We start from the raw sequence: 25,407 nt of genomic DNA, 5'->3' as shown, positions 1-25,407 counted from the left end.
CGGGGTAGGTGGATCACCTGAGGTCAGGAGTTTGAGACCAGCCTGGCCAACATGGTGAAACCCTGTCTCTACTAAAACTATAAAAAATTAGCTGGGTGTGATGGTGTGTGCCTGTAATCCCAGCTACTCGGGAGGCTGAGGCAGGAGAATCACTTGAACCCGGGAGGCAGAGGTTGCAGTGAGCCGAGATTGCACCATTGTACTCCAGCTTGGGCAACAAGAGCAAAACTCCATCTCAAAAAAAAAAAAAATCTACTAGCATCTGGCTAGAAAGGAGGTTGTCATCCATTCTGAGAGGAACAATACATAGTTGTGGTTCATTCTAATGCCAGAATCCCTTTCCCATTCCTTGCATGCCTGCCTTTCAATCTGGCCAAGAACTATTGCGATAACCTCCTAACTAGCATCTTTACCTCCAGCCTTACCCATTCTAAATATATCATATGTGGGGTCAGGGTACGGAAATGATTTTTCTGTCTATATCTGGTCACTCTACTTGCTTGCTTCAAACCTTAAAACAGCTTATAATTAATTAAATCATTTGACAAACATTCTTGAGATCTTATTGTATTTTAGGCATCATTCTGGGTGCTGGTGATAAAAGTAGAAAACAAGGCAGACAAAGTCCCTGTTCTCTTGGAACTTACATTCTAAGGGAGTCAGGATAAGGTCCTACAAGATAAAGCTCCAAAGCTCCAATGAATCTTGGCATTCAGGGCCCATCGTCATGTTTTTTCTCACCTGCATCTCTGAACAGTACTTTTCACCCATTCTCCACCCAGATATGGGTCATGTGATGTTCAAAGGATGGGGAATGAAAGATCTTGTCCAAAGATAGACAGCCACCAAGCACTGAAGTTGGGATTCTATCCAGATATGAAGGCTTGAAAGCCTGGCGCTCTTGTAGGTGTATCTCAGGCACTGACACACAGTAGGCGCTCAAAAGTAACTTGCTGATGGACTTGATTCATATTGTCACATGTATTTTTCCTTCTTTTGACACCTTCCCAGGGTGGCACAGATTTCTTCTCATTTAGCCAAACAACAAATTACAAAGTGTGTCTTCAGAGGTTCTAAGACTAGGTCTAAGAGTAACCACCTATTCAATGGAGAATGAGTGTTAAGGGATGTGTAGGAATTGAGAGGGTTTTGTGAGCTGAGGAGAGTCCAGGGGGCTCCAGGTTTATTACAGCCTCCAGGGTTTCTGTGAGCGCTATAAATTTTGCAGATCTTTGTAATTCCAGGGATAATGGCGACTCCAGGTATGAGGCATGTTCCACAGGCTTAGCTGGCTCGTTTATCTTGCTTTTCCTGAAAGCGAGGTGCAAAATAGAACAAAGAAAAAAGAATGTTGGAACAGGTCTAGAGGTGAGGTATCCAAATCTTAAAAAGACACCCCCTTGTGCACAGAATTAAGGCAACATGGAGTGAGCACTGGCTTAGCCCTTCCTCACAACCCCATGGTTAAAGCCTGCAACTCGGTCTTCTCCATCTGGTCCTCTCTGTGCATCTTCAGTACCCATAACACTGACTGTTCCTTAGACTCCTCAGGGAATCTTGCCTGACTTCCTCAGGTAGGTTTGGTCCCTCCCTCTTCTGCACCACCGTAACTCCTGGCTCAGCATCCCCTACTGTGAAGGTGCCTTCTCGACCAGTCTAGTTGCTCTCTGAGGACAAGGCCTAGGTTTGGCCCATTTCTGAGACCCCAGCATTGTCGAGCACAAAGATTAGGAGATATTGCAGGAAATATTGGTGGAATTTAACAGATGGCTTATCTACAAAAGGACACCAACTGTTCATGCAGGGTGTTAGGAGGGCAGCAGGATAATTCTGATTCTGGAGAATCATAAACGGTAAATAACAGTGAGGCATAGCAACCTCGGACACTGTATCTTCCAAGCCCTGCTGAAGATGTGGGGTACAGGGTGAATGAAGGAGTAACCTGGGCTTGGCCTAATCTCTAACCACTTCAGGCTGACTTGGCCTGTGGCATCTACACCAAGCTGACTGCTGCCGGCCATACACTCAGAGGCCAAATCCTTGGTTTCCACTCTGATGCTACAACTGCTATTAGGATTTTCCCCAACTGCCTTTTCAGTGGGGATTCAATGTAATGGTGTGTGCGTGTAAATTGATTTTAATTGTTCTTTAAATTGTTTCTCTTAACTTTCATCCTTCTCCTCTCTGGGCCTTAGCTTCCTATTTATAAAATGACCTGAAAGCACACTCTAGCATTAGGTATCCTGCAAGACTGAGGATGATAACACCTTCAAAACACTGTGTGCTCCTTTCCCTGTGGGTCTTATTATCAGTATTCCGATAGACTAGATTCCAGACACAATAGGTACATACCAATATCCGGCTCTCAGAAAATGTGGCGACTACGGGTTTTCCTGGTTCCTCAGGCTTCAGAGACATCTCAAGTTCTTGGCTTGCTCTGACTTTAGAGCTCTTTTTTGCTCTGATCGCTGCAGCTTTCTTCGCCTGCTTCTTTCTGATATGTTTCACTCTAAGGAAATAAGCCTTGGATTGGTTCTGGCTCTCCATCTCCCTGAATCCCCAAATGGGCTCTATCTTGACCAGAACTTCTGATTTAGAGCCTCAACAACAGTACCAGCTTGCTGTATGACCTAGGGCAAGCCACACATCCTCTCTGGGAATTAGTTTCACACTCTGAATAAGGGGGATACCCTGCTTATTAGGCTGTGGGGCTCAGATGAGGTCAGCTAAGAAAGGGCCTTGCAACTGGCAGAGAGATTGTTACTGGTCTTCAAGTCCTGTTGATTATACTTTGAAAATAGCTCCTCAGTTTGCCCTGACACCTCACTCCTCATCTTTGTCTCCCCATAGCCAGCCATGCCCAAGTCCCACCTCTCTGGCTGCCCCTCATCACTTGCCCCAGGTCAGGCCTTCTATTTCCTGCTTAGTCCCCTGCACCAGCTTCCTGCCTGGCCTCTGACCTTCTGGCTCTCACTCTCTCTAATCTGTGTCCCACCCCAAGCTCAAGCTTTCCTTCACAGCTTAGCACTCTTCCATGGCTCCGAAATGAGGATTCAGTCCAAGCTGTCTGGACAGGCTCCCCTGCCCGTCTCTCTGGCCTGACTTCCTGCAACTCACCCCTTCCCACTCCATGCTTCTAGCTAATACATGCAGCTAAGTTTTAACACCCTGTGAACCAACACCAAGGATGTCTTTCAACCTCATTTTTAGCCATTACCTGGTACTCTCAATGCACCTGACATTATACAAAGACACTGGAAATGCCTCAAACATGCCTCTGGGCGTCTGCATACAAAGGTTAGATATCCCTTATCTGAAATGCCTGGGGCCAGAAGTGTTTCAGATTTCAATTTTTTTTTTTTTTTTTAGATTTTGGAATATTTGTTTATACATAATGACATATCTTGGGGATAGGAGCCAAGTATAAAAACAAAATTCATTTATGTTTCATATATACCTTATACACATGGCCTGAAGGTAATTTTATATAATATTTAAAATTATTTTGTGCATGAAATAAAGTTTGTGTGCATTGAACTATCACATGAGGTCAGGTGTGGAATTTTCTACTTGTGGCATTATGTCGGTGCCTCGAGAACTTTTGGACTTTGGAGCATTTCGGATTTTGGATTTTTGGATTAGATACTCAACCTGTACTATTAATACTTTCCACCAAGCTAACGAGTACTGAACCCTTGCAGGCCCACCACAGACAGCACCCCGGGGACTCGCTGCTGCCTTTTCCAGGGCTGCCAAGTCCCTTCTTGGTCTTCTCCTTTATAAAATGTGTTCAAAGTGTCTGTTTTATGACACAGTTTTACGGTTCTGTATAGTCCTCATGGCCCTGGATTGTGGTGACCATGTTTGGTACATCTTTCCCTCTTTAGACCCTAAGCTCCTTGAGGGGAGGGGTCCTGTCTTTGCTCTCTCTGTGCCAGGGCTGCAGCCAGGGCCTGCCCGGTAGTAGGCTTGCGGGTGAATATTAACCCTAGTACTCACATGAGAGGGAGGAGGCAGAGGAAGAGCAGCGCAATTACAATTCCCGCATAGATAGCACCCTGGATCAGCCCTTTCACGAAGGCCTGGGCAGCCAAAGAACTCTTTCCTGGAAGCAGAGAGCATGTGAGAAGTTTGGCATCGGAGCCAAAACTCTGCTCCATTCTCTAGCCCCAGTGACTGTCCCCATCCCGCTTATTGTCCTCACCCAGTCACCGAGCCCCCTCCACCCTCACTTGACATCAGTAGGATGCTCAAAGCATGGGTTCCGTTTTGGTTCTTCCCCTCACAGAGAAGTCTCATGCCCATTTCTGGCTCTTCAGTTAGGCTGATGGTGCTGTTAGCCCAGGGGCCAAGCATGGTGGAAGTCACTTGGAGGCTGCCATCCATGCCATCCACACCCACGGGGACTCCTCCCATCCACCACTGCACAGAGGGTGTGGGAATCCCATGGAAGGAACAGCTGCACTGCAGTGTCTTCTCCAAGGAGCAAGAGGAGTTGAGCAGCTTAGCAGGTACTGTGGGGAGGAAGGGTCAGGAGTCAGCAAGGCATCCTGGCTTCCCTCTTCCAGTTTCTCCAGCATGCAGCCTTCTCTTTACTTGCTATTCACAAGGAGCTTCAGAAGGACTTTCTGGAAGCCCACAGGATTCAGGCCTCCCAGACCAGTTCCCCTCTATCTTCTGTCCTCATCTGGCCTGAACCTGATCGCTAGACCTTCTTGAGGGGTGGCAAGTAAATTTCCTGAGGCTCTACATTGTCTGTGATCCCTCACCTACCCTGCAAGGCTAGAAGTCCAAGCCAGACCTCCTACTCTGCTTCTCTTCTTCCCACCTGCAATGTTCCTCTTAGGCTCTATGACCAATTCTCCCTCCATCACTTCCTGTCTGGGTGCTGCTGGGCAAGTCACTCCCCTTATCATTGCTGTTTCCTAGCCTGGAAAATCGGGATATTTGCTGAACCTATCTCATATTATCATCGTTATAAGAATGAATGCCCCAAGATTTGCAGTGCACCCAGCTCAGTGCGTAGTGAAGTATTACCCATTCAATAAACAGAACACCTTTCTTAATTTCCTTCTTCCCGGTCTCAAGTGGTCTTTGGTGGAACATTCACTGGAAGCCAAATGTACTATGGCATCTTCTGTGTAAGAATGCTGGAAATTGCCTCGCTCTATTTAGAACAGGTAGGACATGGTGGCCATTTGATGAATATCATGGATTAGGAGGGAACAGTCACATTCATCAAGGTCTCTAATAATGAGGAATCTGTCTTCAGTGTTGACACACACTTTTTCGTTGAAGTTTTTTGAGGTTACTGGAAGAAAGGGGTAATTTTCCCCTAACCAGTAGCTCCTGATCTCGGTCTCTTCACCTGAGTCACTTGCGGGGCGCTGTTGAGGAATCTGCGGGGGACTCTCATGTACGGACCCCTCTATGGCTGTCCTCTGAATTGTCTTTTCCACCTGGCAAAGTGTGCCCACAGAAACACTGAAAAACTTAACTTCAGGGCTTCCAGTAATGTCTGAAACAGCTCCTAGTGCTCTCATGCCTTCATAGCACCTACACTCTCCATCCCTCTCCCTTGCCCAATTTGCTATTTGCTTCAGACACACCAGCCCTGTCAAAATCTGACACACAGAAGCTGTCTAATTCATGTTGATTATTTGGTACTTATGCCCATATGTCCTCTTTCTCCATGCCTCCATAGCCCATCCTCTGCCCTGCCAACACCCAGGCCCTGGAGTCTTGGCTTCCAAACACACCTCCAGTGCTGCTTCTCACCTTACTTACCCAGCTGTAGCAGTGGAAGCATCACTTCCAGCAGCAACAGTTCTCAGGAACAGCAGAAGCTCTTTACTACACTGGCTCTGACATCAGAACCATATGGTTCAGAAGGAGTGAGGTGATGCGTAACTGAAAGAGGATGTGGGGATGGGGAGAGCAGAAGTATCTTTAGCCAAGTCAGGGGCTTCTGTCTCTGGTCATCGTGAAGGCCTGTTCACCTGGAGAAGCAGGAATTATATGGGATGAGAGGCTCATGAGCACGTACGGACAGGGAGGCAACTAAGATTGTCTGTGAAGCCTCAGTGTCATGTCTGCTTTATTCTTTGTTTTATTTTTGTTTTTTGAGATGGAATCTTACTCTGTCGCCCAGGCTGGAGTGCAGTGGCTCGATCTCGGCTCACTGCAATCTCCATCTCCCATGTTCAAGCGACTCTTCTGCCTTAGCCTCCCGAGTAGCTGGAATTACAGGTATTCACCACCATGGCCAAATAATTTTTGTAGTTTTAGTAGAGATGAGGTTTCACCATGTTGGCCAGGCTGGTCTCAAACACCTGACCCGCCTTGGCCTCCCAAACAGCTGAGATTACAGGCATAAGCCACTATGCCCGGTTTGTTTTTGTTTTTGAGACAGGGTCTTTCTCTCTCTCTGTCACCCAGTCTGGATTGCAGTGGTGTGATCACTTAAGATAGCAAAGTGTTGACATTCTCTCAGGAAAAATATGATAATGTTTAGTTTGGTGAGAAGTGTAAAACAACATCTCCCTACCACAGTATAATTGTTTTGCCATAAAATTTGAAATGAATGGTGTAAGTAACATTGTATAGCATGGCACAATGTTCCCTTTTATATCCCATGTAGACATTTATTTAATAAATTTGTTCTCAGTAAATTTCTATTAAAAAAGAGACAGCACGAGACCCTGTCTCAAAAAAATGATCAATTCCAATTCCTACTGGATATCATGACTTAAAAATCCATAGTAATTCCAGCGTGGGCAACATGGTAAAACCCCGTTTCTACAAAAAATACAAAAATTATCTGGGTGTGGTGGTACGCACCTGTAGTCCCAGCTACTTGAAAGGTTAAGGTGGGAGGATCACCTGAGGTAGGGAGGTCAAGGCTGCAGTCAGCCGTGATCACGCCACTGCACTGTAGCTTTGGGCTACAGAGTAAGACTTTATCTCAAAATAAATAAGTAAATAAATAAAATACATACATACATACATAGTAATTCATAGAGTATGGTATTGACACAAGGATAAATAAAAATACCAATGGGACAGGCTATATGGTTAGAAAAATACCTATACATATGTGATCACTTGGTTTAGGATAAATATGGCACTGCATAGAAGTTAAAGGACTCTCTTTTGAATAAATTGTGTCAGAATAACTGGACAGCCATACAGCAAAAGGAAATAAGACCCCTACCTCATGTCATACATAAAAATAACTTCTAGGGACATTGGGAAAGTCCTTAGACTTTTTTTCTAGAACAGTGCTGTGTGAAGAAATATAATGTGACCTATAAATGTGGACTACATGTATAATTTTAAATTTTCTAGCAGCCACATTAAAAAGGAAGAAATGGGTAAAATTAATTTTAATGATGTTTCATTTAACCTAGTGAAAGAAACCTAGGTTATTCACTAGGTTATTCATATTGAACCTAACCCAATATTTCAACATGCAATCAACACAAAATTGTTAAGATTTGGTACATTCTTTATACACTCTTCAAAATCTTGTATATATTTTACACTTACAGCACACTTCAATTCAGACTAGCCATAATATAAGGGCTCAATAGCCATATGTAGTTAGTAGCTACCACATTGGTCAGTGGAATTCTTTAATACAACATAGGAGAGTATCTTGGTAAGTTTTAGGTAAGGAAATATTTCTTTAAAAGGGCCAAAAAGCACTAGCTATGAGGAAATATGGATAAAATGGACTGTATCAGAATTAATTTCTGCATCAAAAGATACCATTAAGGAGGACAAATGCAAGTTGCAGGGCTGGAGAACATACTTGCAACACATACAACGTGCTTGCATCCAGAACATAGCAAGGATAAAGGGGGTAATGAATGGTGTAGTACATGAGTGGAGTGTTTGGGGTGTTGTTAATGTTCTATTTCTTGACCTCAGTGGTGGTTACACTGGTCTGCTCCCTTTGTGATAATTTGAGTTGTATACTTACTATCTGTATTAATACTTCTCTGTATAAAATTGTACTTTGATTTAAAAGCTTGTTTGAAAATAAAGACAGAGAAACAAACAGAAGGGATACAAAAGAGAATAGAACGGTTGGGACAAGTAGAAATCATGTACCTAGATGTTAGATTTAAACTCCAATACATCAGTGATTTAACTAAATATAAATGGCTTAAATTATCCAGTTATGAATCTAAGATCATCATATTGGAAAAAAGAAGCAAAGCCAAACTCCATGCTGTTTACAAAAGACACAACCAAAGCATAAGTGTAAAGGACAGTTAAAAAACCAAATGGGCCGGGAGCGGTGGCTCATGCCTGTAATCCCAGCACTTTGGGAGGCCGAGACGGGCGGATCACGAGGTCAGGAGATCCAGACCATCCTGGCTAACACGGTGAAACCCCGTCTCTACTAAAAATACAAAAAATTAGCTGGGTGTGGTGGCGGGCCCCTGTAATCCCAGCTACTCAGGAGGCCGAGGCAGGAGAATGGCATGAACCTGGGAGGCAGAGCTTGCAGTGAGCCGAGATCATGCCACTGCACTCCAGCCTGGGCGACAGAGCAAGACTCCGTCTCAAAAAAAGAAAAAAAGAAAAAACCAAAGAATGAAAACATACACCAAGCAAATACCAACCAGAAAGCCAGGTAATGTAGACATACCTACATTAACATCCCATAAAGCAGACTTTAAGCAAAAGGCATTACCAAAGATAGAATGGCATATCTCCTAATGATAAGCTGACATTAACAGGAATAAAGTATATATTTAAAATTTGTGTTTGCCTACTAACATAGTCCAAAAATATATAAAGCAAAAAATCTACAAAAATAAAAGGAGAAACAGACATCCACAATAGTAGTGTGACATTTTAATCACTGTTCTCTCAGAAACTGACAGAACAAACAGACTATTGGAATATATAAAGATTTCAACAACTTGATCAGCAAATTTGACCAAAAATATATAGAGAATACTGCAATCAATAACTGCAGAATACAATTTCTTTGTAAGCACACAGAGAACGTTTACAGAAATTGGCCACAGCTGGATCATAAGACAAATCTTAATAAAATTTCCATGAAAATATTTAAAATCTCATTAATAACCAGCAAAATGCCTGTTAAAACCATCAGATACCAGTACATATCCAAGACAATATATCAAGTCTTGGTGAGAATGTGGTACTCAACTTTCACACACTATTGGTGGAAATATAAATCAGGGCAACAAAGTTATTTATCAAAGCAGAAGATACACATACTCTATGACCCTCAATTCCACTCCCAGATGTATACTTTATAGAAATGTTTGTGCATATGTACGCCACAAAGGAATGCAAAAATGTTTACAGTGGTATTATTTAAAAATAGCTAAAAAGGTAAACAATCCAAATGCCAGTAAACAGAGAATTTTAAAAAATGAGATACTACACAGCAACAAAAACCTATGAGCTAATGCTAGATGCAACAACATGGACCATTCTTACAAATAAAATATTGAATGAACAAAGCCAGACACAAATAAGTAATAATGTATGAGCATTTCTTTAAAATTTGAAAAAAACCGGGCAAAATCAAGTGTTTAAGAACGCACACACAAGTAGTAAAAATCCTTTAAAAGTTGCCAAGAAATGTCCAGCATAAAAGGTAGGATATTAATTGCCTTTTTGGGAGGAAGAGGTCTGTTTCTCTGTTTATTTTATCATTTGTAGGGGGTATGAACAGGTCTTTTGAGATACTGGCTATAGTGAATTCCATAAGGCTGTACCCTATATAGGCATCCTTTTAATAGTACAGTTTCCCATTGCCCATCTGCCTGACCATATGGCCAGGCCATTGGCCACTGCCCATGAATTGGTAAAAACCCAAATGTGGAGGCAGTTCAGCCCACTGAAGTGACTTGTTTTTGCCTTCCTCAGTATGAGTGCCAGTCTTCCAAACAGGATGTTATTAATTCACTTTGGAATTGCCATCCATAAATCAAACCGCTCTTAGTTGGTCAATCAAGAGCTATTAATAGACATCATTCAAGTAATAATAGGATCTCGCAGCTCTTCAGTAGGGAAAAAGCCACCTGTTCATAAATATAACGAGGACCTCCTTGCATTTCCCTGGTAGCATGTTCCTGTATAAACAATTTCCATTTTATTACGAGACTCTTTTGGGCATGGCCTTCCTTACTACAGTGTTTTTCCAACATGACAAACACATCATGAGGATTTCAGGTGTCAGGATTATTATATCCTTCAATGATGGGGCAGACTCAAAGCCCAATAGGCAGCTAGTTGTCTCTCCATTGGAAATTTTCTGGCCCCAAATCCCAGCATTCACCACTGGGTGGTGCTCACTGGCCTTAGCTCCAGTCTGCCTAAATAAAGCAAACGTTAAGCTTCTAACATGTTTTGTCCACCAGATATCCTGTACTGTTTCAAATTAACAATTAGTGTGGGCTTGGGCAATCTTATTGGTTCCTATTTAGCATATTCAATCAATATTGGTTGAAGGGAAGATTTACATGCCTTCTGTTTCATAATAGTACGTAGGGGAACTCTTCCATAGTTGGACACAATATCTTTCCTCATAATACATTTAGGTAAATACATTCACATAACATATTTACATAGTCTGTCCAAACATTCCAATTTTCATCCAAAGTTTCGCCTGAATCTCATCCACTTTGTAATCCTATGTCTTCGCAATCTAACCATAGATGCTATTAGAATTTCACCAACCTTTTGGAATGCAGGTATAAGACTCCCACATGAGTCCCAGAAATATCTCTTATCCATCCCCTGACTATTTTACTACTAATATGCATATGACTTTGGGTCTTCAGTTAGGGGTCAGGCCAAGCAACCCAGGCCCTTTTGTCATTTATCTTGATTAGATCACATGTTCGTCCCCTCAGGAGATCTGAGGTCAGATTTCCCATTGTCATGTTTGCCTTCTGGCTTCTAAAATTCCTCCAAACTAGGGTAAATATAGCAGACTTGATGGGGGACCTTCAACACTGGAGGGCAAGTCTAGGTTCTCACTGCTCCACCTAATTTCTAAGAGTGCTCCACTGAGACCTTTGTTTAGACTCCCTCAATGTCCACTTAACTCATCTCATTTCTTAATAACTGTTTATAAAGATTTCCACCCTCTTGGAAATGTTCGTCTTTTCTCACTCTCTGGTGAACCACTCTAATTTTCTTTGCCATCTGTCATTTCAGCCTAACTTTTCCCTTTAGCCACAGCCCTGAGGCTAGCAGCTGTAGCTCAGGCTGGCCAGAGCCCAAGATTGGGCCAGCATCAGGATCCGCCTCAGCCACTTTCATTTTAACGATTACAGATAAAAATAGCCAAGGGACTGCCTATTTAGTTTGTTTCCTTATGCATCCAGTGGGTCAGCTCCTTGGGGGTTGGATCCATTGTATTGAAAAAGCAATGGTAACTTTTACCTCCTGTAACTGTTTGCAGAACAGCTGCATTTCTATACGCACAGGTGACCGCAGGACAGCCCAGGAATCAAAGGCTTATCATCTTGACTTCACATCCTTCCTCTTTTCAAACCATATGTTTCAGTGAGTCAGGGCTGTTCTAGTGAATCCCATTTCTGATACAACTGAAAAGTTAGGGAATGGTCCACAAGATCCCCTCATTTCTGACACCAACTGAAGATATCAAGGATCCCTGATTACCCTCATTTCTCAAATCATTTGCAAGGTTTTGGAACCCCAAAACTACCCTTAGGTTTGGTAATTCACTAGAAGTACTCACAGAATTCACTGAAAGCTGTTATACTCGTGATTACTGTTTACTACAACTAAAGGATAGAGATTAAAATCAGCCAAGGGAAGACATACAGGGCAGAGGCCAGAAGTTCCCCACACAAAGCTTCTAGTTATCCTCTCCCTGTGGAGTCATGGACAGCATAACTTAGCTTTCCTGGTGATAATGTGTGACAATATGCATAGTACTGTCAACTAAAGAAGCTCACCCAAGCCTTGTGTCCAGTGTTTTTATTGGGCCTCCATCGTGTAACATGGTGACTTCCCTCATGGTGGATCTTAGCATCCAGCTCCTCCTGAAGTTGAGCTGATACCATTTGATCCAAAGCCCCTATTCTAAATCACATTGTTAGACTATCTGGTATTGCTTCCACTCTAAATCACATTGTTAACATTATCTGGTGTGGCCAGCCCTCATCCTAAATCACATTTCTAGAATATTCAGTGTGATGCAAGGTCCCTGGGCAAACAAAGACACCCCTATGAGGTGTGACATTCTAAGAGCTAGGGAGTGTCTTCCAGAAGCCAAGGGCAAAGGCCAGACTTCTCTTCAGGCAAGGTTAAGTTCCTTAGTACACAGAATAAAATGTCAAATTCAGAATAGCAGCGATCTCTATGTTTGAGAGTGGGAGATGTGTTTGGGGAAGGGAGTATACCAGGGGTAGTGTTTTCTTTCTTTTCTTTTCTTTTTTTTTTTTTTGAGACAGTTTCTTGCTCTGTCACCCAGACTGGATGGAGTGCAACGGAGCATTCACAGTTCACTGCAGGCTTGACCTCCCAGGCTCAAGCAATCTTCCCACCTCAGCCTCCCAAGTAGCTGGGACTACAAGCATGTGCCACCATGCCTGACTAATTTTTTAATTTATGTAGAGATGGGATCTTGTTATGTTGCCCAGGCTGGTCTTGAACTCCTAGGCTCAAGCCGTCCTCCCACCTGGGCTTCCTAAAGTGCTAGGATTACAGGTGTGAGCTACCGTGCCCAGCCAGTGTTTTCAATATTAAGCTGGTGGTGGGTATATGCTCATTATACCATATTTATATCTTTCTATATGTCTGAAATATTTCACAATCTTTAAATGAAAACTGGATCATTTGTCATTTATATAAAAGCTTTATATATATAATATGTAAATATGTATCTACATATTCATATATAATACACTCAAAACTATACATACATGAATGAGTAAAACAAAGATCTAGAATGATGTATAATTTGATACCAGTGCTTACCTATGGTTAGAGCAGTGATCAGAGATGAGATTATAGAATTTTCAGTTTTTTAATTCCAGGTTTATTGAGGTATAACTGACAAATAAAAATTGTATATACTTAAGGTGTACGACATGACGTTTTGATGTATGTATGCACTGTGGAATGATTACCACAATCCAGTGAATTAACATAATCAGCACTTCACAGTTACCATTTTTTTGGTGGTGAGAACACTTAATATTTACTGTCACAAAATTTCAAGTATACAGTACAGTGTTATTTACCATAGTCACCATGGTGCACATGAAACCTCCAGAACTTATTCATTCTGCCTAGCTGAAACTTTGTGCCCCTTGATCAATATCTCATTTCCCTTAGCCCTCAGCCCTGGCAACCACCATTCTATACTTTGCTTCCATGCGTTTGACTTTCTTAGATTCTACATATAAGTGAGATCATGCAGTACTTGTCTTTCTGTGTCTGACTTGTTTCACATAGCATAATGTCTTTCAGGTTTATTTACGTTGCTGCAAATGGCAAGATGTCCTTTTTTAAGGCTGAATAACTTCCACTGTGTGTGTATGTGTGTGTGCACAATAAATCCTCACTTAACATCATCATTCAGTTCTTGGAAACTGCTGCTTTAAGTGAAATGATGTAAAATGAAACCAATTTTACCATATATAAGAACATGCAAACTCCACACAGATACTGGTACTGGCTGGGAATTGATTTTTTTCTCTTATGATTAGACAATGTTGAACAAAATGACATTATTTGAATGGGGTGTGTGTGTGTGTGTGCGTGCATGTGTGTATACATATATAATATTTTCTTTACTCATCTATTAATGGACACTTACGTTGATTCCACGTGTGGGCTATGGTGAATAATGCTGCAATGAACACAGGAGTGCAGATATCTCTTCAAGATACTGAGTTCATTTCTGTCAAATACATGCCTAGAAGTGGGATTCCTGAATCATATGGTAGTTCTATTTTTAATTTTTAAAGGATACTCTATACTATTTTCCATAGTGGTTATACCAATTTACATTTCCACCAACAGTGTACAAGGTTTACTTTTCCCCACATCCTCATCAACACTTGCTATCTTTTGCCTTCTTGATATACCCATCTAATAGGTATAAGGTGATATCTGTGGTTTGAATTTGCATTTCTCTGATGATTAGTGATGTCAGGCATTTTTTTTATATACTTGTTGGCCATTTTGGTATGTCTTCTTTTATGAAATGCCTATTCAGGTCCTTGCCCATTTTTTAATTGGGTTATTTGATTTTTTTGCTATTGAGTTGTTTGAGTTCCTTATGTATTTTGGATATTAGCCCCTTATTAGATGGATGCTTTGCAAATATTTTCTCCCATTCTGTAGGTTGTCTCTTCACTCTGTTGATTGTTTCCTTTGCTGTTCAGAAACTACTTTGCTGCAATCTTGCATGTCAATTTTTGCTTTTGTTTCCTGTGTTTTTGCAGAAATATCCAAATAACTATTTCCCAAACCAATAATTTTTATTGTGTATTACATATAAATATACAGAAGTTTTCTCCGATGTTTTCTTTTAGTAGTTTTACAATCTCAGTTCTTATATTTAAGTCTTTTTTTTTTTTTTTCTTGAGACAGGGTCCCCACTCTGTTGCCCAGGCTGGAGTGCAGTGGCATGATCTTGGCTCACTGCAACCTCCATCTCCTGGGTGCAAGCGATTCTTGTGCCTCAGCCTCCTGAGTAGCTGGGATTACAGGCGTGCTCCACCATGCCTGGCTAACTTTTGTATTTTTAGTAGAGACAGGGTTTCACCATGTTGGCCAGACTGGTCTCAAACTCCTGGCATCAAGTGATCCACCCTCCCTGGCCTCCCAAAGTGCTGGGATTACAGGCGTGAGCCACTGCGCCTGGCTATATTTAAGTCTTTAACCCATTTTGAGTTTATTTTTGTATTTGGTATAAACTAAGTGTCCAATTTCCATGTGAGTATCTAGTTTTCCCTAAAATTTTCAGGTTTTTATTTAGCCATGGGTCTACTGGTAGCTAACCTTTTTATAATTAATTTTTTTATTTTTATTGAGCTATAATTCATATACCATAAATTCACCATTTTAAAGTGCACACAATTTAGGAGTTTTAGTATATTCATAAAGATATGCAGACATCACCATTACCTAATTCCAGAGCACTTTCATCACCTCCCTAAAAACACCAATATCTATTAACATTTACTCCCCGTTTCCCCAAACCCCAACTCCACCCCCTAGTTGTAGGCAACCACTAATCTATTTTCCGTAATTATAAATTTGCCTATTCTGGACATTGTATATAAATGAAATGATATAATATGTGGTCTTTTGTGTCTGGCTTCTTTCATTTAGCATGCTTTCAAGGCTAATTCATGTTGTACCAGATATCAGTACTCCTTTCATTGTTATCGTTGAATAATATTCCATTGTATGGATAGACCACATTTTGTTTATCCATTCATCAGTTGATGGCATTTGGGTTGTTTCTACTATTTGGATACTGTGAATCAATCCTTTTTTTTTTTTTTTTAAAGAGATGGAGTCTCACCCTGTCACCCTGGCTGGTGTGCAGTGGTACAATCACAGCTATCTACAGCCTCGAACTCCTGAGCTCAAGTAGTCCTCCCACATCAGTCTCTCGAGTAGCTGGGACTTTAAGGGCACACTACTAGACCCAATTCATTTAAAAAAAATATTTTCTGTAGAGAGAGAGTCGAGTCTTGCTATATTGCCCAGGCTGGTTTTGAACTCCTGGGCTTAAGCAATTCTCCCGCCTCAGCCTCCCAAAGTGCTAGGATTACAGGCATGAGCCACTGTGCCCTGCTGTGAATCAATTGGGAATGACTGAATCATGCCATGACTGTTAACTACTTTTTTGGTTAACATCTAATGAGAAACTATGGTTGCCATTTACAACTCTAGAGACGTAGAAATTTTATCTTTTATCTTAGTCTCAACAACTCTGTGAGGTACATCTCATTATCAACACTTCCAAAAGGAAGGCAGAGATCCACAAAAGTACTATGACTGGCCCCAAGACATGCAGCCGTTACGTTCATAGATTTCAGACTCAACCTTTGACTACAACTGTGGTGTCTTTTTCATGATTCTATTTTGCCTTAAAAACTGCTGTATAAGCATGGTGAAGTTCATTCTCCTCTCCAAATTCACTTCCTCATGAATAAAATATAAGAATAAATCAGCTAGCCCTGATGTGACACACAGTATACTTAGATTTTTCCTGGAAGTGGACCAGAAGTCAGAAGACCTAATCTTTGTCGCTACTTCCTGGGTGATTCTGGGTAAGTCACTTCCCTCACTGTCAGCCTGCTTCAGAGACTAAAAACAATCATAAATGAATTTTGTTTGGCCTACAAATGCTTACTTTTTAAAACTAACTTTTAAAATGGGATAACATTTAATAATCAGAGCACTTCACAAAAAATTCAAACAACCAGCTTCTCTCTCTCTCTTTTTTTTAAATTTTAAATTCAAGTCAAACTGCCTAGATATGAAGGTTAGCTGTTTTATAGTGTGCAAGTAGCTTCACCTCTCTCTAGGCCTACTTGCTCATTTTAAAAACATGGATAATAATAGCACCCATCTTAGAGTTGTTGTTAAGATTAAATGAGTCAGTAGAACAGAACCTCACATTTGGTAAGCAATCAAAAAATGTTAGTTACTATGTATTAGGTTCCCTGCTTAGCTCCTATCAGCATTTAACTTGGAACCACTTTTTTTTTGTTTTTTTTTAACACAGGGTCTGGAGTGCAGTGGCATGAACATGGCTCACTGCAGCCTCGACTTTCCAGGCTCAAGTGATCCTCCCACCTCAGCCTCCAGAGTAGCTGGGACTATAAGCACAAGCCACCAGGTCCAGCTAATGAAAAAATTTTTTTTGTAGAGACAGAGTCTCACTATGTTACCCAGGCTGGTCTCGAACTCCTGGGCTCAAGCAGTCTTCTCACCTCAGCCTCCCAAAGTGCTGGGATTGCAGCCGTGAACCAACACACTCAGCCTGGGACCACTCTTGACCACCCCTAATCCCTTCCCAGAGTTCTGGAACCAGCCCTGTCCTTTCCTATTCCATATTTCGGCATGTTTTAACAGACCTCTCTGAGTGGTCTGTGCTCCCAACCCTTAGCCTCCAGACTGATTGCCCTTTTTCCTTCTCACATAAAAAAGATATCGCCCAAGTTTCCAGGTCGTTAAATGCCTCTCTCATTCACGCCACATATCCACTTTCTTTTTGCATTGTCAATTTTTTTTTCCTTCCCCTTTCTTCTGTTTAAAAGCCCATGTTAGATGGTCGGAATGAGCCTTGTCTAGGTCCTGGGCCAGGATTTGCCAGTAAAGCACTGAATAACTGTGGTCAAGTATTTTCCCTCTTCTTATTTCCTCATGTGTAACATGAGTGGGTTTTACTGCTGGAGATGTAATGATCCATTTAAGTACAAAATTCTGATTTCTTCTTTCTTCTCTCCATCAGTTTTAGAGCATACATGTGATGACTCGTCATGCACCCATTATATTTTCTTTTTCTTTTCTTTTCTTTTTTTTTTTTTGAGACAGAGTCTCGCTGTGTTGCCCAGGCTGGAGTGCAGTGGCACGATCTTGGCTCACTGCAACCTCTGCCTACGGGGTTCAAGTGATTCTCCTGCCTCAGCCTCCCGAGTAGCTGGGACTACAGGCACGGGCCACGATGCCCATCTAATTTTTGTATTTTTGGAAGAGACGGGGTTTCACCATGTTGGCCAGGCTGGTCTTGAACTCCTGACCTCAAGTGATCCCCGGCCTCAGCCTCCCAAAGTGCTGGGATTACAGACGTGAGCCACTGCGCCCAGCCTATTTTCCTTGACCACCATGTCTCTCAATTTTCCTTCACCATCATGTCTCTCAATTTTCCTTCTGTCTCTTGTTCCAAAGGGCTCAGGATATTCTCTGTTCTCAGCACACTTCCATCTGTGTATTTCCTTAGCAGGGTGTGAGTGATGCAAAGGTGTTCGGCTTTCTAAGGGAAGGGCTGACTTACTAATGACTGACCTATTTATGGTGAGGAAAACGATTTTCTAGGGAAAGCCAGGATAACTAACAATGAAACTGATAGACACACATGGGATAACTGTGTGAGTAATGACTGGGTGCCTTGCAGGGGTGTAACTTACCAAGAGACCGACTTAGCGGGAGCCTAACTAACCAATGAACAGGGCAGGTTCTGAAGGGAGTGGATTTTCTCATGAACTGATTTTCAAAGGGACTAACCGTTGACTCATAAGGGCACTGACCTGATTGTGAACCCACGGGCCGCTTGCTTACCTTCTTGGTAGATGGATGTCGCCCCAGCTGCCCTCTGGCTGACCAGGTGACTGACGTGGTGGAGGCTGAGGAACGCTGGCTCCTGGCGAACTCCCTGACTATGCTTAATCTCACCGCCTGACTGTTCAGATTTAGCCTCTGTCTGACCAAAGGGCTCTCAGGGGCCTCACTGGCACGAGAGCCGCCCTGGTGGCCTAACCGACCTGCGGCTGCCCCACGGCCCAAGGATCCGCTGACTGACGCTGACTGGAAGCCCAGTTAGTGCAGTTTCAATGAAGGAACCCAACAACCGCCAACAACTGCCAGGGACCCAACAACCGCCAGAACCCAACAACTGCCAGGGACGCCAACAGGCCAGGCACAGCCTTATGCGACTAGGGATCCTCAGTCGGCTGCACAGAGATAGCGGCGTGAGGGGCGTGATAGCCGCTGCAAGACCTGCTAGCTCGCATCCTTAGGTGAGTGCATCCACCCGCAGCCAATCAGCGGCTGCATGGGCTTACTTTACACAGCCAATCAGAGGCTGCATGTGCTTATTTTACAACCAATGAGAGGCTGCATGGGCTTATGTTGCAGCCAATCAGAGGCTGCATGGGCTTATTTTATAGCCAATCAGAGGCTGCATGAGCTTTTTCTACAGCCAATCAATGAAGCAGAAGCATTGTGCCCACAGGCGTGTGCCCCTGGGAGCTGATGCACGGCTGCCAGAGTCAATCAGGAACTGCAACTGCAACTCCCTCCTCCAACCTTTGTGCCCAATTGGATCTTGAGGGCTTGAGCCAATCCGCAGCTGGGGGCGGTGCCAGGGTAGTTTGTGGGCCAATTTTCTTCCCAGCAAGGCCTTTCCAGCCCGTGCTGATGAAACCACACTCCTCTCCAACCCTGAGGACTCCGTTCCTCTTGTTTAACCCTGTTTATTTTTTCTCACACTTTATCCGTCACGCACTTTCTTACCCATTACACTTTCAAAATGACAGAGGCATTTGAGCCAGAGCAACTCCGTCTTGAATAGGAGCTGGGTAAAATGAGGCTGAGACCTGCTGGGCTGCATTCCCAGAGGGCTAAGGCATTCTAAGTTACAGGATGATATAGGCGGTCAGCACAAGATACAGGTCATAAAGACCTTGCTGATAAAACAGGTTGCAGTAAAGAAACCAGCCAAGGCTGGGCTCGGTGACTCACGCCTGTAATCCCAGCACTTTGGGAGGCTGAGGCGGGCGGATTACCTGAGGTCAGGAGTTTGAGACCAGCCTGCCAACATGGCGAAACCCTGTCTACTAAAAATACAAAAATTAGCTGGGCGTGGTGGCAGGCACCTGTAACCCCAGCTACTTGGGAGGTTGAGGCAGGAGAATCGCTTGAATCCGCGAGGTGGAAGTTGCAGTGAGCCGAGATTGCACCACTGCACTCCAGCCTGGGCAACAGAGTGAGACTCTGACTCAAAAGGAAAAAAAAAAAAAAGAAGCCAGCCAAATCCCACCAAAACCAAGATGACAATGAGAGTGACCTCTGGTAATCCTCACTGCTACACTCCTACCAGCACCATGACGGTTCACAAATGCCATGGCAACGTCAGGAAGTTACACTATATGGTCTAAAAAGGGGAGGCATGAATAATTCACCCTTTCTTTAGCATGTCATCAAGAAATAACCATAAAAATGGGCAACCAGCAGCCCTCGGGGCTGCTCTATGAAGTAATCATTCTTTTATTCTTTTACTTTCTTAATAAACTTGCTTCCACGTTACTCTATGGAATAGCCCTGAATTCTTTCTTGCAAGAGATACAAGAATCCTCTCTTGGGGTCTGGATCAGAACCCCTTTCCTGTAACAAAAACACTTTGTGCTAAATATCATTTGCTAATGGTATTTTTGTTTATGGTTTGACTGTGCCACTAGAATAGAAGCTCACTTTTTGGTTTTGTTTTATGGTACATGGGAGACCTCCACTCCCTATTACAACAGTCTCCACCTCCCTGTTGCAGCAGTTCCCCTTCCACTGCTGCAAAGATTCTTCTCCCTTTATTGGAATAATTGTTTTGGATAAAATCTTGCCTTATTTATGTGCAGATTTTTTTTTTTTAATGTGACAGACTGAAGGATGATGTTCACCCTCCAGGGCCTTACTCCATGGCCCTTACAGCTTGCAGAGCAGGCCCCAGATAGACTTCCCGAGAGGGGACCTGACTTTGTTCCCTTTACCCTAGCTGTAGCAGACTGACTGCTATTACCTAAACATCTGCCAGCCCCTCTTCTACCTCCTTGCTTTGTAATTGATATTATCAGTACCTAAACTGCTTTTCCTCGCTTCTCTGCTTGCTGGCTCTTGCTTTCCCTTCAAGGTGCAGTTAGAAAGGGGCTTCCTCTGAGAAGCCTTTTCTAACTTCTTTCCCATCCCTGAAAGCTCTTGCCCTTGGGTCCCCAGACCCTAGGCCATAATTATCCCCATAATTTATATCCTTTGCCATCTTTATAGGAACCTTATCATACTGTGTTTCAGTAAGTTACCTATTTCTGTCCCTTTCCCAAACATTACCCCATGAACTTGAGCTCTCCCAATTGTCAAAATAACTAACTGGGAAGCCATTAGGCTGAGATGGCTCCAAGGCCTTTGTTTCCAAGTAAGCAAATTCAAACCTAACTCAAAGTGAATGGTCATATCCTAGAAAAATGAAACTTAGGCTTAACCAATCGAAACTGCCTACTAACCTCTAAGTAGAGACTTTACCAATCAGAAACTGCAAGTTGACCTCTAATTACAAACTTTAAGGCTACCGTTCCCCTTTAACCAAATGAAACTATTTTCTTTGTTTTGATTCCAGGAATACCTTATAAAAGTTTTCCTTGTGTGCCCACTAGGTGGTTTGGCACTTCTGGATTCATGAATGTCAGCTCAAATAAATTCTTTAAAATTTTAATGTGTCTAAGTTTATATTTTCATATGAGCCAGGGACTGTATCTTCTTCCTTTTGATGTTCTTGGAGGAGCTGAAGCAGCTAGGTTACTTGGGGTATAAACATGGGGTTCCGCTGGCACATGCCAGGACAATTTAGGACACAGAAACACACGAGGATTTTAGGAGTGGAGGTTTAATGGGTAGAAGAGAAGAGAAAGAGAAACTGCTTCCTCTAAAGAGGAAGGGGTCTTGGAACGGAAAAAAAGACCATCTGGTGGTGAATGCTGCAAATTTTATAGTCCCATTTGAGGAGGTGGTGTCTGATTCACATAAGGCTCATAGATTGGTTTGATCGGGTATAATGTTTAAATAGCACACAAGGAAGGCTGGTAACCCCACCCTAATCTTCTTATGCAAATGGACTTTCCAGTTGATCAGTGCCACCTTGTCTGCTCCTTACAGCACGTGACAGAGAAGGGAAGATGGAGCGGCCATCTTGAAAATGTCCATTCCTTAGTTCCTGCCGTCATTCACTCATGCAAGCTCCCAGGTTGCAGGCTGCTCTTTGTTAGAAACTGATTTGGGGCTGCTTTTCATTAAAAAGAAAAGCCTTACCAAGGACTCCCATGCCCTTGCTCTGGGCCTAAGTAATTCCTTCTTAACTCCTGTATTGGTGTAGCATGTAGTAGGCATGCAGGAAAAGTTTGGAAAACAAAGAAATTAGAACCTCAGGATTTCTCAAGACCGTCTTCATAAATGTGATAACAAAGGAATTCTTAACAGGACCCGTTCAGGATTAAACAAGTTTTACTGGGGGTCTTGAGACCCTTGAGACACTAGGGGCTATCTCTCCCTCCGTCTGCCTCTCAGGGTGTACTTTTGCTTTGCGATAAACTTCTTCAAATGCACTAAATTGTTTTGAAATTGGGCAACGGCCGGACACGGTGGCTCACGCCTGTAATCCCAACACTTTGGGAGGCTGAGGCGGGTGGATCACCTGAGGTCAGGAGTTCGAGACCGCCTGATTAACAAGGTGAAACCCCGTCTCTACTAAAAATACAAAAATTAGCTGGACGTGGTGGCAGGCACCTGTAGTCCCAGCTACTTGGGAGGCTGAGACAGGAGAATTGCTTGAACCCAGGAGGTGGAGGTTGCAGTGAGCCAAGATCACACCAGTGCACTCCAGCCTGAGTGATGGATCCAGACTCTGTCTCAAAAAAAAAAAGAAATTGGGCAACATAGTGGTTTTCGTAGTGAACTTGAAGAACTAGAGAAAGTTCATTTTGTTCAAGTATCTATGTGAATACAGAGGAGGAAGGCTCTAGTTCAGTGTTTCTCAATTTGGTGCTTTTTTGCACCCTGATAGACACCTGACAATATCTGGAGTCCTTTTTTGGTTGTCAAAACTGGACTAGGGGAGCTACTGACATCTTGTGTGTACAACCTAGAGACGCTGCTCAACATCTGACCATGCACCCTTGTTCCTGGACCAAACCAAGGGTCAGGCTGCTTATTCTCTTAGCCCAATGACAAGATGCAGGTGAACTGGGAGAGAAGGGAGTTTATTTCTGTAACTGGGCACAGGGAGAAGATCTGGAAAATATTGCCAGACCAACTCAAAATTACAAAGTTTTCCAGAGCTCATATACCTTCTAAGCTATTTGTCTACATGTAAGAGTGCATTCATCTGGACGTAAGCGATTAACTTCTTCCAATCTGTAACTAAGATGTCAGTCCTGAAGATCTTCCTCTGTAGCCTCAGTAAATTTATTTAAACTAAATGGGTCCAGGTGCTGGGGTGATTACCCTTATCTTGTCTCCTGCTAAATCATGGAGGTTTGGGGAGTTCCTTCAGACCCCCAATAAACTTGTTTGTGGAGGCTTAGAGGAGTTTCTTCAGACCCCCCAATAAAACTTGTTTAATCCTAAACGGGTCCTGTTAAGAATTCCTTCATTATCTTGTTATGCTCAAGGCCCAGAAAAGGCCTGGGCAAAATTCTTGGTGGGCTTTTGTTACATTCCAGCCTTTGTATGAGGGCACTGGCTCTGTCAGCTTTTAATATTTAACTTAACCACTCAATCAGTGCTGAGACAGTTGTTATGGAGGCCTGCCTGTTCAGCGGTTAGGGAGACCTGACCTGCCACACCCTCCCCTAACCACCACCACCAAAGAATTATCCAGCCCCAAATGCCAGAATATGAATATCGTTGAGGTTGTGAGGCAGGATAAGTAAGGTTAGGAGGCCATACTCACTTGTATCCTTGCGCAAAGCCCCATGGATCCCTTTCGAAGCAGATTCTTTGGTTTTCACTCTCGTGAGTCAGCACCTAACTCTTGCAAGATAAACAGTCCTACAGGATACAAGCAGACCACCAGATGGTTGCAAGTTCCTGTTAATGTGGCCTGGGAAAGAGAACAAAAGCCACTTATTCATGGTGTAGTTTCCCCAGTCTCCAGCCAATCAACACCAAAAACCCAAGAAGCTGTGAGCTACAAATTCCTGCCTTGGGGGAGCTGGGAACTTCTCCAGGGCTCTGCGTGTGCAGCTATGTTCAAAGTTTAGCTTATAGTGACCTTTTCCTCATTTGAATAGTAGAAAATACACCCCTAGGTGGAGATTTTATATGCTAATGATACATGCAATGCGTGTTAGAGCACATAGATTCTGAGTGCATGCCTTTCATGCTGGACTCACCAATATTTTATGAATATGTATGTATAGTTCCCATGAAAGGAATTACCTTGAGATGCTAGAGGCTGTCTCTCCCTCCCTCTGCCTCTCAGGGTGTACTTTCGCTTTGTAATAAACTTCTTTGCCTACTCTTACTTTGGACTCGCTCTCAAATTCTTTTGTGCCGCAAAGTCAAGAACCTGAACTGGCCCACCAACAGCAGTTGATAAACTGCTCTAATCCAAGCTGTGGGAAAGTACAGGGGCTGGGAGAGGGGACAGGGTAGGGAATGCAGCTTGTCTGAGGAGGTGATGTTTGAACCAGCTCTCAAAGGATGAGTGTGTGCTGCAAAGAAGGAGGGCAGGGGACAATATTGCAAAGAGACAGAACCACATGAATGAAGCATGGAGAGGCACAGAGGGACATGCAATCTCTAGGATGTGGCTGAGATGTGTGAGGGGTGGTAGCTGAGGGTGAGATTGTAAAAAGTTATTTTTTGTTTTGTTTTGTTTTGTTTTTTGAGAAAGAGTCTTGCTCTGTCGCCCAGGCTGGAGTGCAGTGGTGCGATCTCAGCTCACTGCAACCCCTGCCTCCCGGGTTCAAGTGATTCTCCTGCCTCAGCCCCTCACGTAGCTGGGACTACAGGTGCATGCCACCACGCCTAGCTAATTTTTGTATTTTTAGTAAAGACGGAGTTTCACCATGTTGGCCAGACTGGTCTCAAACTGCTGACCTTATGATCTCCCTGCCTCAGCCTCCCAAAGTGCTGGGATTACAGGCGTGAGCCACCACACCAGGCCTTTTTTTTTTTTTTAGACAAGGTCTCACTTTGTTACCCAGGCTGGAGTGCAGTGGCGTGATCTAGCTCACTATAACCTTGAACGCCTGGCTCAGGGGATCCTCCCACCTCAGCCTCCCAAGTAGCTGGGACTATAAGTGCGTGCCACCACACCTGTCTAATTGTTCTTTGCTTTTGTAGAAACAGGGTCTCTCTATGTTGCTCAGGCTGGTGTTAACTCCTGGCCTCAAGCAATCCTCTTGCCTCAGCCTCCCAAAGTGCTGGGATTACAGGCATGAGCCACTGTTCCTGGCCTGGGAAAAGCTTGAATAACTCTCACTAGAGTCAGAACATCATCTTGAGGCAAAGAGGCAGGCATGGGAGGATATTTAGCAAGAAAGATACAGGGTTAGAGGTGAGTATTAGAAAGCTCCCATTGCTGATGGTTTTGGTGATGGGCTGGTTGGGGTGGGACTGGAGCCCAGAGGCTGGGGAGGAGGCTTTTGCCATGTTCTGGGGAAGAGGAGTCAAGATGGGACCTGGATCTGAGAGTAAGGGGAAGGGGACAGGCCAGGAACTTGGTGACTTACAGGAATGGGTGAAGAGGGAAAGGGAGAAGTGGAACAAAACTCTGGCCATGGAGACTTAAAATAGGCTTTATATGGCCGGGCACTGTGACTCATGCCTGTAGTCCTAGCACTTTGAGAGGCTGAGGTGGGCAGATCA

General features: G+C 43.3%; 1 protein-coding gene and 1 long non-coding RNA gene across 12 annotated transcripts in view; one reads left to right on the top strand and one right to left on the bottom strand.

Annotated features, from left to right (window-relative positions):
- Positions 1-25,407, top strand: part of LOC107985327 (uncharacterized) — an 84,260-nt gene that overhangs the window by 1,286 nt on the left and 57,567 nt on the right. The window contains exon 3 of one of the 3 annotated variants that reach the window (XR_001753983.2): positions 5,705-5,793. The exons of the other annotated variants lie outside the window; for them this stretch is intronic. This is a non-coding gene — a long non-coding RNA (uncharacterized LOC107985327). Of the gene's footprint in view, positions 1-5,704; positions 5,794-25,407 lie in introns of those variants that run through there. 3 annotated transcript variants of the gene reach the window in all.
- On the bottom strand, positions 552-23,550 carry SIGLECL1 (SIGLEC family like 1). Of its 9 annotated transcripts, none has more exons than NM_001385466.1 (6): positions 23,486-23,550; positions 5,788-5,999; positions 4,233-4,514; positions 4,000-4,105; positions 2,353-2,509; positions 552-1,311 (listed from the first exon to the last, which is right to left on the bottom strand). In NM_001385466.1, exons 2-6 carry the CDS (start codon positions 5,807-5,809, stop codon positions 1,285-1,287), a joined length of 594 nt encoding a protein of 197 aa, NP_001372395.1. In that variant the 5' UTR covers positions 5,810-5,999; positions 23,486-23,550; the 3' UTR covers positions 552-1,284. The 9 variants fall into 9 exon arrangements, 6 of the variants coding, with proteins under 6 accessions (NP_001372395.1, NP_001372394.1, XP_011525123.1 ...); NM_001385465.1 differs by lacking the exon at positions 23,486-23,550 and adding an exon at positions 18,337-18,802; XM_011526821.2 differs by lacking the exon at positions 23,486-23,550 and adding an exon at positions 13,850-13,953.

Source organism: Homo sapiens, chromosome 19, assembly GCF_000001405.40.
Source record: "Homo sapiens chromosome 19, GRCh38.p14 Primary Assembly".
Lineage (NCBI taxonomy): Eukaryota > Metazoa > Chordata > Mammalia > Primates > Hominidae > Homo > Homo sapiens.
The sequence above is the reverse complement of the archived record's forward strand: the minus strand, read 5'-3'. Positions and strand labels throughout refer to the sequence as shown.